We start from the raw sequence: 19,994 nt of genomic DNA on the forward strand, positions 1-19,994 counted from the left end.
TGAAAAAGTGGAGGTATTTACACCACAGAAATTGGCAAGTGCTACAGATCAGGGCCTCCCCCTCCTCTCTTTGGAAAGCCAGTTTACCAGCACACCACTGAGCTATCCCTACAGAATTAAAAATACCACATAGCCTCTATAATTAAATAGTGTGGGACTGCACATGAATAGGCAGATCAATGGAATAGAAATAGAAAGTCCAAAAAGAGATCTGAATGACTGGGACAAAGAGTCTTTTAAATCAATGATCTTGCAACTTGATAGTCAGTTGGAAAAAGATAAAATTAGATCCATTTCTCAAACCATACATAAAATAAACTCCAAATGAATCAGATATCTAAATGCAAAAAGTAAAAATATACAAGTACTAAAAGAAAACATTCCTCTACTATCTGGGGAGAGAGAAAGATTTGCTAACTGTGAATAGAAATCCAGATGCATTAAAGGAAAAGCTTTAAAATCTGACTACACAAAAATAAAAACTTTATAGAGAAAAAGGCAATACAGTAAGATTAAAAGACAAATGACAAAAAAGTGAGAAAATATTGGTAGCATATATCACCAATAAAGAGATAATTTCTGAAATGTACTAAAAATTTTTTTAACAAAAAGATCTAAAGTCCATTAGAAAAATAGACGAAGAAATGAATAGCTAATTCCCAAAAAGAGATATAATAATAGCCCTTAAACCTATGAAAAGATATTCAACTTCACTCACAATAAGAGAAATGCAAATTAAAGCTACACTGAAATACCATTTCTCATCCACCACAGTGGCACAAATTCAAAAGCTTGACAGTGTGTTCTATTAGTGACGCTGTGGGGAAACAGTACTTTCACACATTGCTGAAGGGACTGCAAAATGGAGGGGAATGTGGCACTGTCTAACAAAACTACATGTGTATTTACCCATTGACCCAGCAATCCCACTTCTAGGAATTTATTCTGAAGATACTGCAACATGAGAATACATATGTACAAGATTATTCATTACAGCCTTGTTTGTAATTGCAAATTATTGGAAACTACCTAAATGTCCAAGTTTAGGAGGTGGGTTGCATAACTATGGTACATCCATACACTGGAGTAGTGTGCACCTGAAAAAAAGGACTAAGGAGAATCTCTATGAATCAATATGGAGAGATTTCCAGGAGATAGTGTTAAGTGAGAAAAGCAAAGTGCAAAGAAGCATGCAACTTTTTGCATAAACAAAGAAAGATATGTATCTGTGTATCATTAGCACAAAACCACAAAGAAAGGGGGTGGAGGCATGGCTGATGGGATGGAAGGCATAAAGAGAAAGTGACACTTCTCTTAGTATTATTTTTTGCAGAGTGTTGACCTTCAAAAGCATGCTAATCTACATATTCAAAAATAAAATTAAGTTGAGGAAAAAACTAGGAAGTGGAAATATGAAAAATGAAAGCAAATTGAAACAAATGAATCCAATGTTACTTACAATGAATACCATGACCAAAATAAAAGATGGAAAAAAATTAATCCAAATAAGTTACAAACTCAGTATTTAACTAAATGCTCTCAAGACTTGGGCAAGGTAGCATACAGGCCTAAGAAGGAAGAACTGCAAACAGATTCTGAGCTTTTAAAAAGTTGGCCTGTTCAGGAGATCGAGACCATCCTGGCTAACACGGTGAAAACCCCGTCTCTACTAAAAATACAAAAAATTAGCCGGGCATTGTGGCAGGTGCCTGTAGTCCCAGCTACTCAGGAGGCTGTGGCAGGAGAATGGCGTGAACCTGGGAGGCGGAGCTTGCAGTGAGCCGAGATCGCACCACTGCACTCCAGCCTGGGTGACAGAGCGAGACCCTGTCTCAAAAAAAAAAAAAAAAAAAAAAAAAAAGTTGGCCTGTTTATTGTGGTGACATCGGTGAAGAAATTTTGAAACTATTGTAGATGCATTCTGGGATTGAGCAAATTAGTAACTACATTGATATTGTTGAGTAAACATGTTAATGTTGAGCCAAGGTTCTCACTGTAGAAGAAAGAACATATATATAAGTAATGGAAGAAAGCAAGGATGAAACCTGTGGGCATGGTTTGGAGTTTTGTTTATATTTTTAAATGAGCCTCTGTGAGTGTGTGTGCAAGTGTGTGTGTCTGTGAAGAAACATGCAAGCATGTGAGCACATGAGCCACCACATGTGTATATAAGAAAACAAATGGGGTAAAATTTTTTAAATAGTGAGTATGGGTAAAGGGCATGTAGATGTTCTTTGTATTCTTATTTTTGTAACTTTTTGAAAGGTTGAAATTGTTTCCAAATAAAAAGTTTTTATGAAATTTGTGATACATAGAAATATATCTAAAATATTTTCCTCTAAAAAACAAGCTGATTACTTTCCTAGAACATATAAATTTTGTGGTGCTATAACAACCAATGTTTTGTAATTAAATGAAAGAAGTTAATGTAGAAATAAAAAGGAAATCAAACTCTTAAAATACAATTTATGGGGCAGATGGAGTATGGCAGATAGGAGACAGGTCTAACGTGCAGCTCCCACATGGAAGGACAGAACAGTGTTAGAGACTCATATTGTGATCTTTTGCTCCAAGATTCACTGTAGGAATATACCAGGAAAACCAAAAGAATTCACATATCCTTCGAAAGAAGTGGCATGCTGCTGCCAATTCCATGAAACAGGTGAAAAACTGTGAGTTCCCAAAGTGTGAGAGGGAAGAAAACCTACCTCCGAACACGTCCCCACTGGGGAATCTAAAAATCCACATCACGGGAGAAAAATTTAACCTTATCTAGAGATGAAAGAGATTTATGGAGTCACGTAAAGTATAAAAGTAGAAGTAGCAGCAGGAAGTGCCTTGCACACACTCCCAGTCTCCAGCTCAAGCCCAGGGAAGCCAGCAATGGCTTCTCACAGGTGTCCTTGGGAAGGCAGCCAGCAGAATTGGGGAGGGGTCACAGAGTGAAGGAAGCTCCCAACTGAAATTGGTAGTGGTTTTGACTGGGCACAAATTTTCTTGAGCAGAGTCCAGGGGACGAGTGGAAGCTGCTGCAGATAGGAGCCAGGGCAAGAATAGCCAGACAGGGAAGGGCCAGGTTCAAATGCTGTGCTTGCTTTTTCAGTGGGGTAGCTCACGGCCTGGGGCAAAATCTGAGCAAGGCACTGCAGGAGCGAGGCTGGCCTTGCCAACTACATGGGAGCTGGGCAAGGCCTCTTGCTACTGGCTATTCCCCACTTCTCTGGCAAACTGTATGATACAGCAGAGGTGGCCAAGATCCCCTCTATAACATAAGCCCATTGGCCTGAGAACCATACCCCCATCCCCCAAGGTGGCCGTGGCAAGCCCTGCCCAAGTAGAGTCTGAGCCCAGACCCACCTAACCCTGCCCCGACCTAAAGTGATGCATCACTTTCCTGTCACCTCTACTAGAGCAGGTACTGGTATCCATGCTGTTGCCAGGCTGTAGTACGGTGGTGCAATCTCTGCTCACTGCAACCTCCGACACCCGGGTTCAAGCGATTCTCCTGCCTCAGCCTCCCAAGTAGCTGGGATTACAGGCATGTGCCACCCACCTGGCTAATTTTTGTATTTTCAGTAGAGACGGGATTTCGCCATGTTGGCCAGGCTGGTCTTGAACTCCTGACTTCAAGTGATCTGCCCACCTCGGCCTCCCAAAGTGCTGGGATTACAGGCATTAGCCACCATGCCCGGCCAAAGACAGGTCTTTAGAATTAGCCCAATCAGACAAAGACAAAAAAGAATTTTAAAAAATGAACAAATCCTCCAAGAAATTTGGGATTATGTTAAATGGCCAAACCTAAGAATAACTAGTGTTCCTGAGGAAGAAAAGAAATCTAAAAGTTTAGAAAACTTATTTGAGGGAATAATTGAGGAAAGCCTCCCTGACCTTGCTGGACCTCCTCCCTGACCTTTAAATGTGCCTCTGCAAGTATGTGTGTGTGCAAGTGTGTGTGTGTCTGTGAAGAAACATGCAAGCATGTGAGCACATGAGCCACCACATGTGTATATAAGAAAACAAATGGGGTAAAATTTTTTAAATAATGAGTATGGGTAAAGGGTTTGGAGATCTAGACCTCCAAACACAAGAAGCTCAAAGAACACCTGGGAAATTCATTGCAAAAAGATCATCACCTAGGCACAAAGTCATCAGGATACCCAAAGTCAAGACAAAGGAAAGAATCTTAAGACCTGTGAGACAAAAGCATCAAGATAAACTATAAAGGAAAACCTATCACATTAACACCAGATTTCTCAGCAGAAACCCTACAAGCCAGAAGGGATTGGGGTCCCATCTTTAGCCTTATGAAACAGCCAAGAATTTTGTATCCAGCAAAACTAAGCTACATAATGAAGGAAAGATAAAGTCATTTTCAGACATGCTGAGAGAATTTGCCACTACTAAACCAGCACTACAAGAACTGTTTAAAGGAGTTCTAAATCTTGAAACAAAACCTCAAAATACATCAAAATAGAAGCTCCTTATGACATAAATCTCACAGGGCCCATAAAACAATAACACAATGGGGGAAGAAAACACCAAAACAAGGTATTAAGGCAACAACTAATGTGATGAACAGAACAATACCTAACATCTTAATACTAATGTTGAATGTAAAGAGCCTAAATAGTCCACTTAAAAGATACGGAATGGCAGAATGGATAAAAATTCACTGACTAAGTATCTGCTATCTTCAAGAGACTCACCTAACACATAAGGACTCACATAAACTTAAGGTTAAAGGGTGGAAAAAGATATTCCACGCAAATGGAAAGTGAGCAAGAGTAGCTATTCTTATATCAGACAAAACAGACTTTAAAGCAACATCAGTAAAAAAAAGAAAAAGAGGGACATTATATAATGATAAAAGGAATAGTCCAAAAGGAAAATATTGCAATTCTAAATGTATATGCACCTAACACTGGAGCTCTCAAATTTAGAAAACAATGACTATTAGACCCAGGAAATGAGATGCACAGCAACACAATAATAGTGGGAGACTTCAATACTCCACTGACAGCACTAGACAGGTCATCAATACAGAAAGTCAAAGAAACAATGAACTTAAACTATACCCTAGAACAAACGGACTTAACAGGTATTTACAGAACATTCTACCCAACAACTGCAGAATATAAATTCTTTTCTTCAGCACATGGAACAATCTCCAAGATTGAACATATGATAGGACACAAAGCAAGTCTCAATAAATTTAAGAAAATCAGATTTATATAAAGTATCTTCTTTTTTAACTTATCTTTTGTAATTTTTTTGTCTCATTTTCATTGAGTTCTGCTCTGATCTTTGTTATTTCTTTTCTTCTGCTGGGTTTAGGTTTGGTTTGTTCTTGTTTCTCTAGTTCCTTCAGGTGTGACCTTAGAGTGTCTATTTGTGCTCTTTCAAACTTTCTGATGTAGGCACTAAATGCTATGAACTTTTCTTAGTACTACTTTTGGTGTATCCCAGAGGTTTTGATAAGTTGTGTTTCACTATTACCTCTCAGTTCAAAGAAGTTTTTAATTTCCATCTTGATTTCACTGTTGACCCAAAGATCACTTAAGATCAGATGATGATGATGATGATGACAATAATAATAATAATTATTAATTTTTTTGAGATGTAATCTTCTCTGTTGCTCAGGCTGGAATGCTGTGGCGCAATCTCGGCTCACTGCAAGCTCCACCCCCTGGGTTCACACTATTCTCCTGCCTCAGCCTCCCGAGTGGCTGGGACTACAGGTGCCTGCCACCACGCCCGGCTAATTTTTTGTATTTTTAGTAGAGACGGGTTTTACCATGTTAGCCAGGATGGTCTCAATCTCCTGATGTCGTGATCCGCCTGCCTCCGCCCCCCAAAGTGCTGGGATTACAGGCGTGAGCCACCGCACCCAGCCTGAAGTATCTTCTTAAACCACAGTGGAATGCAACTGGAAATTACCTCCAAAAGGAACCCTCAAAACTATAAAAATACATGGACATTAAATAATCTGCTCTTGAGGCTGGCTGCGGGGGCTCATGCCTGTAATCCCAGCATTTTGGGAGGCGAAGACAGGCGGATCACTTGAGGTCAGGAGTTCAAAATCAGCCTGGCCAACATGGTGAAACCCTGTCTCTACTAAAAATACAAAAATTAAGGCTGGGCGCAGTGCCTCATGCCTGTAATCCCAGCACTTTGGGAGACTGAGGCAGGCAGATCACCTGAGGTCAGGAGTTCAAGACCAGCCTGGACAACATGGTGAAACCCTGACTCTACTAAAAACACAAAAAAATTAGCCAGGCATGGTAGCAGACGTCTGTAATCTCAGCTACTTGGGAGTCTGAGGCACAAGAATCGCTTGAACCTGGGAGATGGAGGTTGCAGTGAACCGAGATTGTGCCATTGCACTCCAGCCTGGGCAACAGAGCGAGACTCTGTCTCAAAAAAATAAATAAATAAATAAAAATAAAAATAAGCCCGGCATTGTGACGCATGCCTGTATTCCCAGCTACTTGGGAGGTTGAGGCAGGAGAACTGCTTGAACCTGAGGAGCAGAGGTTGCAGTGAGCCGAGATCATGCCACTGCACTCCAGCCTGAGCAACAGAGCAAGATTCCATCTCAAAAAAATTAATAATAATTATCATCATCATCATCATCATCTGATCTTGAGTGATCTTTGGGTCAACAATGAAATCAAGATGGAAATTAAAAACTTCTTTGAACTGAGAGGTAATAGTGAAACACAACTTATCAAAACATCTGGGATACACCAAAAGTAGTACTAAGAGAAAAGTTCATAGCATTTAGTGCCTACATCAGAAAGTTTGAAAGAGCACAAATAGACACTCTAAGGTCACACCTGAAGGAACTAGAGAAACAAGAACAAACCAAACCTAAACCCAGCAGAAGAAAAGAAATAACAAAGATCAGAGCAGAATTAAATGAAAATGAGACAAAAAAATTACAAAAGATAAATCAAACAAAAAGCTGGTTCTTTGAAAAGATAAACAAAATTGATAGACCACTAGCGAGATTAACCAAGAAAAGAAGAGAGAAGATCCAAATTAGCTCAATGAGAAATGAAACAGGAGATATTACAACCAATACCACAGAAATACAAAAGATCATTCGAGGCTACTATGAACACCTTTACACATACAAACTAGAAAATCTAGAGGAGATGGATAAATTCCTGGAGATATACAACTCTCCCAGATTAAATCAGGAAGACATAGAAACTCTGAACAGACCAGTAAGAAGTAGAGAGATTAAAACAGTAATAAAAAAATTGCCAATAAAAAAAGTCCAGGACCAGATGGATTCACAGCTGAATTCCATCAGACAGTCAAAGAAGAATTGGAACCAATCCTATAGAACACTACTGCACAAGATAGAGAAAGACGGAATCCTCCCTAAATCATCCTATGAAGCCAGTATCACCCTAATTCCAAAGCTAGGAAAGGACATAACAAAAAGTGAAAACTATAGACCAATATCCCTGATGAACATAGATGCAGAAGTCCTAAACATCAAATTTGCTAACTGAATCCAACAGCATATCAAAAAGATAATACACCATGACCAAGTGAGTTGCATACCAGGTATGCAGCAATGGTTTAACATATGCAAGTCAAAAAATGTGACAGATCACATAAACAAACTTAAAAACAAAAATCATGTGATCATCTTAATAGATGCAGAAAAAGCATTTGACAAAATCCAGCATCCCTTTATGGTTAAAACCCTCAGCAAAATTGGTATAGGAGGGACACACACTTCACATAGATAGGTAATAAAAGCTATCTATGACACACCCACAGCCAACATTATACTGAATGGGGACAGTTGAAAGCATTCCCCCTGAGAACTGGAACAAGACAAGGATGCCCACTTTCATCGCTTCTATTCAACATAGTATCTGAAGTCCTAGACAGAGCGATCACACAAGAGAAACAAATAAAGGGCACCTAAATCAGTAGAGTCAAACTATCACTGTTCACTGACGATATGATCATATACCTAGAAAACCCTACAGACTCATCCAAAAAGCTCCCAGATCTGATAAATGAATTCAGTAAAGTTTCAGGATACAAAATTAATGTGCACAAATCAGTAGCACTGCTATACACCAACAGCAATCAAGCTGAGAAACAAATCAATAACTCAACTCCTTTTACAATGGCAGCAAAAAACAAACAAACAAACAAAAACACCAACTTAGGAATATACCTAATCAAGGTGGTGAAAGAATTCTACAAGGAAAACTACAAAACACTGCTGAAAGAAGTCACTGATGACACAAACAAATGGAAACACATCCCATGCTCATGGAGAATCAATATTGTAAAAATGACCATACTGCCAAAAGCAATATGCAAATTCAGTGCAGTTCCAATCAAAGTACCATAATCATTCTTCACAGAACTAGGAAAACAATCCTAAAATTCATATGGAACCTCAAAAGACCCCACATAGCAAGACTAAGCAAAAAGAACAAATCTGGAGGCATCACATTACCTGACTTCAAACTATACTACAAGACTATAGTTATCAAAACAGCATGGTACTGATATAAAAATAGGCACATAGACCAATGAAACAGAATAGAGAACCCAGAAATGAAGCCAAATACTTACAGCCAACTGATTTTTGACAAAGCAAACAAAAACATAAAGTGGGGAAAGGACATCTTATTCAACAAATGGTGCTGGGATAATTGGGAAGCCACATGTAGAGGAATGAAACTGGATCCTCATCTCTCACCTTATAAAAAATCAACTCAAGATGATCAAAGACCTAAATCTAACATCTGAAACCATAAAAATTCTAGAAGATAACATTGGTAAAAGTCTTCTGAACTTTGGCTTAGGCAAAGATTTCATGACCAAGAACCCAAAAGCAAATGAAACAAAAACAAATATAAATAGATGGGACTTAATTAAACTAAAAAGCTTCTGCACAGCAAAAGAAATAATCAGCAGAGTAAACAGACAACCCACAGAGTGGGAGAAAATCTTCCCAAACGTGCATCCAGCAAAGGACTAATATCTGGAATCTACAAGGAAGTCAAACAATCAGCAAGAAAAAACAAAACAAAACATAATCCCATCAAAAAGTGGGCTAAGGACATGAATAAACAATTCTCAAAAGAATATATACAAATGCCCAACAAACATATGAAAAGATGCTCATCATCACTAATTATCAGGGAAATGCAAATTAATACCACAATGAGATACCTACCTTACTCCTGCAAGAATGGCCATAATTAAAAAATCAAAAAGCATAGATGTTGGCATAGATGTGGTGAAAAGGGAATGTTTTCATTTACACTGCTGGTGGAAATGGAAACTAGTACAACCACTAAGGAAAACAGTACAGAGATTCCATTTAGAACTAAAAGTATAACTACCATTTGATCCATCTATCCAACTACTGGGTATCTATTCAGAGGAAAAAAAGTCATTATATGAAAAAGATACTTGCACACGCATGTTTGTAGCAGCATAATTTGCAATTGCAAAAATATGGAACCAGCCTAAATGCCCATTGACCAACAAGTGGATAAAGAAAATGTGGTATAAATACACCAGGGAATACTACTCAGCCATAAAAAGGAACGAAATAATGGCATTCATAGCAACCTGGATGGAGTTGGAGACCATTATTCTAAGGGAAGTAACTCAGGAATGGAAAACCAAATATCATATGTTCTCACTTTAAGTGAGAGTTAAGCTATGAGGATGAAAGTTATAAGAATGATACATTGGGCCGGGCGCGGTGGCTCACGCCTGTAATCCCAGCACTTTGGGAGGCCGAGGCAGGCGGATCACGAGGTCAGGAGATCGAGACCATCCCGGCTAAAACGGTGAAACCCCGTCTCTACTAAAAATACAAAAAATTAGCCGGGCGTAGTGGCGGGCGCCTGTAGTCCCAGCTACTTGGGAGGCTGAGGCAGGAGAATGGCGTGAACCCGGGAGGCGGAGCTTGCAGTGAGCCGAGATCCCGCCACTGCACTCCAGCCTGGACGACAGAGAGAGACTCCGTCTCAAAAAAAAAAAAAAAAAGAATGATACATTGGACTTTGGGGATTCAGGGGGAAGGATGGGAGAAGAGTGAGGAATAAAGGAGTACACAATGGGTACAGTGCACACTGTTTGGGTGTTGGATGCACCAAAATCTCAAAAATTACTGCTAAGGAACTTATCGGTGTAACAAAAAACCACCTGTTCCCCCAAAACCATGGAAATAAAAAAATATATAATTTATGCAAACAGATAAAATATTAGACCTTTCACTTTAGTATAATATATATAATTCTAATTTAATTATCAAAATCCTGTATTTTATATCAATATATCTTGGTAATCATGTTTAAATATCACTATTAAAGATAGACTATTGAGTTTCCTTATTACCCCAAATGTTCACTATACTAGATACTGCTATTTGATCTCAAGAGAATGGATCCTTAAATAGACTCACTCTTCTAATGATCGATCTAGGCCTCGGTCAGGAGATCGATGGTGAGCACGTTCTGGTGAATGACATTTTGTATTTGGCTTCATTGTAGAACTCATATGATAAGCATTACTTGAATAATTTTGGCGGCGAAGTTCTTGTACGGCCCTCTCCCTAAAGCAAAATAGTGATGCTTTAAATTTTATATCCAGCAAAATTATTAAAACTATCATAAAACTAGCTCAATTCATACTTGAAAATCTAACCATCATGAAAGAACTAAAACCTCTTGTTACCTAAGAAACAATGCTTTCCATGCTGAAAAGCATTGTTTTTGAGCTTGCATAGAGATAAACTTACCTTTCAAAGCGCTCTGTTCCTAGTTGTCTTTTGGTAATGTCTAAATCAGCTTCCAATTGTGTGACAACATTTCTGAACTGGGCCACATCTCTACTCTGGATGGCCCTGTTTAAAAGAAGATAAGAGTTATAGTTGACTAAACTTAAAATATGGCTATGATTCTGGGGTACATGAAACCATATTGATAGTGGTTTCTCAGCTGGATCCAAATCACATTGTGATTTTTATGGCCAGATTTATTAGTACATCTAAAATATGCCCATGTTAGACATAGTAAGTATGCAGAGTAGCCTACTTGAAAAGCCTAAGCAATCCCAGTCCCATTTAATTAGTTAATCCTTCTCTGTTTCAGCTTCCCTGTGGGAACATATTATACATCATCTGTCTATACTACTTACTATAAATTGTTTTTTATGTAAGTACTTAGAGGTATTCTATAAAGTAGTGGTATGATCAAATAATTAACACCGGAATTCACTAGCTCCATGATTAATATGGTCTGTTTTATATATATCTATTCAACCAAGTGCCTTATAATGAAATTTGACATACACAATCTTCAATTTAATAGAATCTTCCTTAAGGCTAAAAAATGCCTCAAAAAACCTGTAATAAGGCACAATATCATAGGGAAGATAAACATTGATGAATGCCACTCACACAGAACATTCTATCCTCTTCACTTGCTTTCAGGATAGTATCATAGACTGCTGAAATCTAAACTTTAGAGACTAATAACAAACACTTCTCATGCTAATTCTAAGTGTTAGTATTTACCAGCCAGTCTAAAACAGAGTATAGCCCTTAGGGTGGAAGTTTTGGCGTATTTCACAAAAGGTAGATTTCCACCTACCATCCTGAGAAAGTGATCCTGCAAAACCTGTTGAAGGAATCATAATAGGCTAGCTACAGTAATGGAAAAGAAGGACTCAGTCACCGCCACTATAACCTGAAAACAGTTTCTGAAGGAAACTGGCCCTGGCTCTGAAGCCCTTGCCTAGTCAGGGGCTCCTAGGAGTGGCTGATTGCTGAGACCATGCTTCTTATCCTTCCCCATGTCCTGACCTCAGATGTGAGGACAGAGTGGAGGCTGGATGAAAAGTGTTACAGATGGGACAGGTAAGAACAGGGGTTAAGGGTCCCCCATCAGTTTTTATGAGAGATGATCAAGTTTAATAGAAAAAAAATTCACTATACAGGGAGGCAATTCCACCCAATTCTCCAGCCAAATGTCTTTTAATAAGGTGCTAGGAGTGCTAGAGATCCTAAAGAAAAGAAAAAGAAAGAAAAGAAGCCAAAATCAATGTCCTGGGAAGTCTTCTGTATTTTGTGAATGCAGGTGTTCTTCTAGGTATCCAGTACATGCAATAGGTACAAAAGAAAATATGATGTGGCAAATGCAAACACTAGGTTGCAATATATTGGTCTAAATATGAAAATTCTTCTGGTTTCAAACTGGTTAATTTTTTTTCTCATTTTGTTATATTTCCTAAAGGCAGTATTTTAGATCAGACATTCTATCATACTCAAAACTCTGTTGGAAAGAATCAGTAGAGATCATTAAACTTAAATTTAGATAAGAAAAACATAATAGAAAAAGTACCACCTCTTAGGCAAATCACAGTATTTCTGATCCTTAGGCAAAGTATAGAAGGCAAATTCTCTAAATTCTAGCTTAAAATTTCTACTAAAGTACCAAAAAATTAAGATGTATGACTTTACTTTATATTGCTAAACAACTCACATTTTATTTTCTGCCAAACAAAGGTGTTCTTTAAGAAGCTGAATTTCAGATTCTTTTTCTTGAAGTGCTATCTGAGACTGATATTCTTTGTCTCGATTGGCCACCAGCAAAGCTTCTAGATTCTGCATGGAGATTCTCTCATTTGCCATCTGACTCCTCAGGAGTTCAATTTCAGAATGAGCAGAATCTAACTCATTCTCCCTCTGTTCAATAACAAGAAGATATCTACACTTATTCCCATTAATTCACTTAACTATTATATTATCAGGGACTCACAAAATTTTCATAATCTGTTATAAACTGGCAACTACTTTTAATGTGATTTGAAATTGTGTCCCTCCTTCTTACCAAATAAACACACCACACATGTATGTATAGTATCACTTTCTCCATCTCTCTGATCATATCAGAAAATTCATTAATTTAAGAAAAGGCTTATTAATTTCAAACTGCAACCAGTTTCTACTACCAGCTTTGATATTTCTTTATATACTCCTGCAAGACTGACAGGATGATATCTGTGAGCACTGCTTTGTCCTGAGTTAGGTGAGCTACATGCTTATAGAATGTCATTGGACTCCATAATTAAGGAATATAAGGAGTAATCTCTTATATTCTTATATAAAGAGTAATCTCTTATAGTCTCTTAATATAATTAATAATTATATTTAATAATGTAATTAAATATAATTATAATTAATATAAGGAGTAATCTCTTATATTCTCTTGCATAAACTTGTGGAAAGCTTCCTTTAGAAAATTATCTTGAGCCTTAAAATATGCTCAGTGAGACAAATGTTTTTTAAAAAGGAGGAAGAACAGTCACTAGTATTTAGAAAACAATTATTCCTTATCTTGTAATATACATAACAAATTCTATATGCATTTAAAAGTTAAATTTGAAAAGGTAAGCTTTAAATTCCAGTGAAAAGAAATAAAAATGAAATTACATGGAAGGGAGATAGGTAGGTAGGGAAATTTTCTAAGCTAGATACAATGCAAAAAAAAGTTTCATCACATTAAAAAAATAAACATTTTGATAGTCAATATAAACTTAACCAAAATTTGAAAGGAAACAACTGGAAGACAAATAAACTTAGTAAATCAAATTAATAGCTTATATCTCTACTAACATAAAGAACGCATATAAACTGATGAGAAATATGAGCTAAATGATAATGATCAGAAAATTTACAAAAGGAGAAATACAAGTAAATTATAAACGTATGGGGAAAATTTACCCTTACTAGTAATCAAATAAACTAAAACAAGATGCTATTACTAGTTCAGGGCTTCTTACCTCAACATTACTGATGTTTTGGGTTGGATAATTATTTGGAGTGGGGGCAGCACTATGCATTACAGGATGCTTAGCAGTATCCCTGGCCTCTGCCCAATCAACGCCACCAGCATTCCCCACTCTAGTCATGACCACCAAAAATGTCATTACTAAATGCACACTGGGAGCAAACTCTCTTTCAGCTGAACTGGAAAAACTCTACCAAAGACACTGTTCTAGTCTATCTAGTCTATTCTAGTCTATCGCAAATTTGTTAGTTTGTGTTAATGAACATTACATTGGGCAATGGCAATCTCATATACTTTGCTGGCAGGAGTAGAAAATGGACCGTGATTTTTTTGACAATAGCTTTTTTGAAATATAATTCACATGCCATCAATGATTTTTAGCATATTAACACAGTTGTACAATCGTTACCACAATCTAATGTGAGAACTTTTTCATCATCCCAAAAAGAAACTCAAGGTTGGGCATGGTGGCTAACACTTGTAATCCCAGCACTCTGGGAGGCCAAGGTAGGTGGATTGCTTGAGCTCAGGAGTTTGAGACCAGCCTGGGCAACATGGTGAAACTCCATCGCTACAAAAAATTCAAAAACTTAGCCAGGCATGGTGACATAGGCCTGTAGTCCCAGCTACTCAGCAGGCTGAGGTGGGAAATTGCTTGAGCCCAGAAGTTGAGGATACAGTGAGCCAAGATGGCACCACTGCACTCCAGCCTCGGCCACTGAAGGAGACCCTGTCTCAAAAAAAAAAAAAAAAAAAAAAAAAAAACACCCAACACAGAACGTTCTCTGGCCCTAGGCAACCCCTAAACTATTTTCTACTATTTGCCTTATTCTGGGTATTCCATATAAACGGAAACAAACAATGTGTATGCGGTCTTTTGTGACTGGCTTCCTTTATTAGCACAATGTTTTTAAGAGTTATCGATGTTTTAGCAGGATCAAAACTTCATCACTTTTATTGCCTAATAATATTCCATTGCATAGATAAACCACAGCTCTATTCATGAGTTAAAAATATTTGACTTATTATACTTTGGGACTATTATAAATAATATTGCCATAAAAATTTGTATACAAGTTTTTGTATGGACATGTTTTCATTCCTCTTGAATAGATAGAAGTGACATTTATGAGCTGTAAGGCAATCTAATTTTTAACATTTTGAGGAACTGACAAAATGTTTTACAAAGTTGCCTTACTATTTTACATTTCCACCAGCAATGTATGAGGGTTTCACTTTTTCCACATTTTTGTCAACATTTTTTATCTTCTCTCTGATTACAGCCATCCTAGTGGTTGTGAAATAGTATGGTTTTGATTTGCATTTTTCTATTAATGATGTTCAGCATCTTTTCATGTGTTTATTGGCCATTTATGTATCTTATGTAGAGAAATGTCTATTAATATCCTTTGCCTAATTTTTTAGTTGGGTTATTAAGTTTTTTGTTTTTTGAGACAAGGTCTCATTCTGTCACCCAGGCTGGAGTGCAGTGGCATGAAGATGGCTCACTGAAGTAAACCTCCCACCTCAGCCCCTCAAGTCTCTGGGAATACAACTGTGCACCACCACACCTGGTTAATTTTTGTATTTTTTGTAGAGATGGGTTTTTGCCATGTTGCCCAGGCTGGTCTTAAACTCCTGGGCTCAAACGATCCTCCTGTCTAGGCCTCCCAAAGTGCTAGGATTAGAGGCATGAACCACCACTACATATTTTGAATATGAATCTCTTATCAGATATATGGTTTGCAAATGTTTTCTCACATCTTGTGCATCGTCTTGCCACTTTCTTGATGATATCATTTGCAGCACAGAAGGTTTTTTTTTTTATTTTGATCAAGTCTACTTAATCTATTTTTTTTGTTTGTGTTTTTGATGTGTATTTAAGAAAGTGCTGCCTAACCCAAGGTCACAAAGATTTACTTCTGTGTTTTCTTCTTAATACAGTTTTGGCTGTTACATATAGCCCTATGATTCATTTTCAGTTAATCTTTGCATGTGATCCAACTTCATTCTTTTCCACATAGATATTAGGTTGTCCCAACGCCATTTGCTAAAAATACTATTCTTTCCTCATTGAATTGTCCTAGCACCTGTATTTTGAAAAATCATTTGGGCACAAATGTATAAACCATTTCTGGACTCTGAATTCTGTTCCATCAACCTCTATGTCTTTCCTTATGCTAGTACCACATTGTCTTGATTACTTCAGTTTTGCAGCCAGTTTTGAAATCAGGGAAGTGTGATTCTCCAACTTTCTTTTTCTTTTTCAAGATTGTTTTGGCTATTCACTTGCACTTCCATATGAATTTTAGATCAGTTTGACAATTTCTACAAGACACCTGGGATTCTGATAAGCATTGCATTAAATTTGTGGATCAGTTTTGGGAGTAATGCCATCTTAACAATGATAAGTGTTCTGGCCCATGAACATGGGATGTGTTTCCATTTATTTAGGTCTCCTTTAATTTCTGTTGACAATGTTCTGTAGTTTTGTAAAGTACAAGTATTTGTCTTTTTTTTTTTAGACAGAGTCTTGCTCTGTCACCAGGCAGAGTGCAGTGGCATAATCTTGGCTCACTGCAACCTCTGACTCCCTGGTTCAAGCGATTCTCCTGCCTCGGCCTCCCAAGTAGCTGGGATTACAGGCACGTGCCATCACACCCAGCTAATTTTTGTATTTTTAGTAGAGATGGGGTTTCACCATGTTAGCCAGGATGGTCTTGATCTCCTGACCTCATGATCTGCCCACCTCGGCCTCCCAAAGTGCTGGGATTACAGGCATAAGCCACCGCGTCTGGCCGTATTTGTCCTTTTTTAATGCTACCCTTTTTGATGCAATTCCGTTTGATATAATTTTTTTTTCAGATTGTTCATTGTTAATGTATAGAAATAAGAAATATGATAACTGGATATTGATCTTGTGTCCTACAACCCTGATGCTCATTAATTCTAATACGTTTTTAGTGGATTCTTAGGATTTTCTATATTTCAGATCATGTCACCTGCGAACAGAGATAGTTTTACTTCTTTTCCAATCTGGATGCCTTTTATTTCTTTTTCTTGCCTAACTGCCCTGCCTAGAACCTCTGCTACAGTGTTGAATAGAAAAGGCAAGGTGGGCATTCTTGTCTTGATACTGATCTTAGGGCAAAATCATTCAATCACCACTAAGTACAGTGTTTGCTGTGGGTTTTTCACAGGTGCCCTTTATGAGGTCAAGAAAGTTTCTATTTCTAGTTTATAGAGTGTTTTTATCAGGCAAGAATGTTGGATTTTGCCAAATGCTTTTTCTGCATCCATTGAGAAGGCTGTGTGGTTTTCGTTCTTGATTCTGTTGATATGATGATGTATTAATTGATTTTTCAGTTGTTAAACCAACCCAGCATTCATGGAATAAACCTTACTAGATGGTGTAAATTTCGTTTTATGTGTTGTTGGATTCAGTGTTATAGTATTTTCTCGAGAATTTTTCATCTGTATTCATAAGAGATAATGGTCTGCAGTTTTATTTTCCTGTGAGGTGTTTGTCTGGCTTTGGCCTCAGGGCAATAATGGCTTCATAGAATGCATTAAGAAGTGTTGTCTTCTACTTTTGGAAGAGTTTGCAAAAATGCTGGATCAATGCATCTTGAATCATTTGGAAGAATTCACAACTGAAGCCATCTGGGCCTCAGTATTACTTTATGGAAGTTTAAAAATTTCTATTTTCACCTCTTTAGGTTACAGGTTTATTCAGATTTTCTACTTTTCCTTAAGTCAGTTTTAATAGTTTGTGTTTTTCTGGAAATTTGTTGATTTCATCTAAGCATTTAATTTTTGGCATTCAGTTGTTCATGATATTCCCCTATGATACTTTTTTTATAAGGTTAGTAGTGATGTCCCTTCTCTTATTCCCGATTTTAGTAATTTGGCTCTGTCACTTTGCTAAAGATTTGTCAATTTTGTTGGTATTCTGAAAGAACAAGCTTGTGGCTTCTTTGATTCTTGATTGTTTTCACTTAGTTTCTGTTCTAATCTTGATTATTATTTTCATTCTTCTTGCTGTGGGTTTAGTTTGTTCCCTTTTTCCAGTGTTCTAAGTGGAAGGCTAGGTTAGTGACTTAAGAGTTTTCTTCTTTTTTAATATAGATAGGCATTTATAGCTATAAATTTCCCTCTAAGTACTGCTTTAGCTGCATCCTATATGTTTTGACACAGTACATATTCATTTTCACTAATCTCAGAGTATTTTCTTTTTTTCCTTTGTGATTTCTTCTTTGACTCACCACTATTTGGGAATGTGCTGCTCAATTTTCATATACTTGTGAATTTACAAAATATTCTTCTTTTATCAATCCCTAACAATTCCATTGTGATGGGAAAACATATTTTGCATAAGTTCAATCCTTTTAAATCTATTGAGGCTTATATTATGGCCTAATGTATGATCTATTCTGGAGGATCTTCCATGTTGAGAAGACTATGTATTCTACTGTTTTTGGAAGAGTGTTTTATAAATTTATGTTAATGCCAATTTGGTTTTTGTGTTGTTGAAATCTTATATTTCCTTGTTGATGTTCTGCCTAGCTGCTCTCTTCATTATTGAAAGTGGGGTATTGACATCTGCAACTATTACTGTTGAACTGTTTATTTACAGCTCAATACAGAAATGTTATTCCTACATAGCTGTTTTTCTTCCTTTTCTCACTAGTGATATTAGTCTTACACTTACATCTATATATGTCACAAGCCCAATGATATATTGTTACAATTATTACTTTTAAATGTTATAGCTTTTAAAGAAGTTGATAGAAGAAAGGACAACAAAAATATACAGTCAGACTTAGTAGCTCTTTTTTTTTTTTATTTTTGAGATGGAGTCTCACTCTGCCACCCAGGCTGGAGTGCAGTGGCATGATCTCGGCTCACTGTAAGCTCTGCCTCCCAGGTTCATGCCATTCTCCTGCCTCAGCCTCCCAAGTAGCTGCGACTACAAGCACCTGCCACCACGCCTGGCTAATTTTTTTGTATTTTTTTTAGTAGAGACAGGGTTTCACCGTGTTAGCCAGGATGGTCTCGATCTCCTGACCTCGTGATCTGCCCGCCTCAGCCTCCCAAAGTGCTGGGATTATAGGCATGAGCCACCACGCCCGGCCCAAAGCAGCTCTTTTAAATATGTTCAAAGAAATAAAGGAAGTCATACTTAAGGAGGTAAAGTAAGGCCATAAATGGATGAATTGATAAAGAAAACGTGGTATATATACAAAATGGAATACTATACAGCAGCGGTCCCCAACCTTTTTGTCACCAGGAACTGGTTTCATGGAAGACAATTTTTCCATGGACAGCAGTCGGGGTGGGGATGGTTTTGGGATGAAACTGTTCCACCTCAGATCATCAGGCATTAGTTAGATTCTCACAAGGAGTGTGCAACCTAGATCCCTTGCATGCGCAGTTCACAATAGGGTGCACGCTTTTATGAGAATCTAATGCCACTGCTGATCTGACAAGAGGTGGAGCTCAGGCAGTAATGCTCACTCACCCACCGCTCACCTCCTGCTGTGCGGCTAGGACTGGTACCAGTCTGTGGTAACAGGCTATGGGCCCGTACAGGTCTGCGGCCCAAGGGTTGGGAACTCCTACTATACGGCCTTTAAAAAGAAAAAAATTCTGTCATTCATGGCAACCTGGGTGGAATTGGAGGACATCATGCTAAATGAAATAAGCCAGGCAAAGAAAGACAAATACTGTATGATCTTACTTATAAGTGGAATCTAAACAAGCTGACTTTATAGAAACAGAGAGTAGAATGGTGGGAGGAGGAAGGATGGAGAAAGGGGAGATGTTGATCAGAGTCCAAAGTTTTAGTTAGACTGGAGAAATAAGTTTTGGTGATTTATTACATTGCATGGTGACCACAGTTAATAATAATCTACTGTATAATTCAAAATTGCTAAAAGAATAAAATTTTAATGATATCATGCAAAAAATAAGTTGATAAGTTGATTGATATGTTATTAGCTTAATTAAACCTGTCTGCCATACATACATCAAATCTGTCTACATACATAGACCAAAACATCACATTATACTCCATAAATATACATAATTATTATTTGTCAACTAAAAAAAGAAAGAAAAAAGTAAAAGAAGGCCTAATAACAA

The 19,994-nt window shown here is 37.5% G+C and overlaps 1 protein-coding gene across 23 annotated transcripts in view; it reads right to left on the bottom strand.

Moving 5' to 3' along the window:
* The window catches only part of TSGA10 (testis specific 10), a 157,706-nt gene that overhangs the window by 10,477 nt on the left and 127,235 nt on the right, over window positions 1–19,994 (bottom strand). For 21 of the 23 annotated variants that reach the window (XM_047445934.1, XM_047445931.1, XM_047445932.1 and 18 more), the window contains 3 exons: window positions 12,543–12,745; window positions 10,799–10,903; window positions 10,463–10,612 (listed from right to left, as the gene is read on the bottom strand). In XM_047445934.1, coding sequence (XP_047301890.1) covers window positions 10,463–10,612; window positions 10,799–10,903; window positions 12,543–12,745 — 458 coding nt within the window. Of the gene's footprint in view, window positions 1–10,462; window positions 10,613–10,798; window positions 10,904–12,542; window positions 12,746–19,994 lie in introns of those variants that run through there. The other 2 variants (NR_146001.2, XM_017005037.1) reach the window with 2 other exon arrangements.

This window comes from Homo sapiens, chromosome 2, assembly GCF_000001405.40.
Source record: "Homo sapiens chromosome 2, GRCh38.p14 Primary Assembly".
NCBI classification, from domain to species: Eukaryota; Metazoa; Chordata; class Mammalia; order Primates; family Hominidae; genus Homo; species Homo sapiens.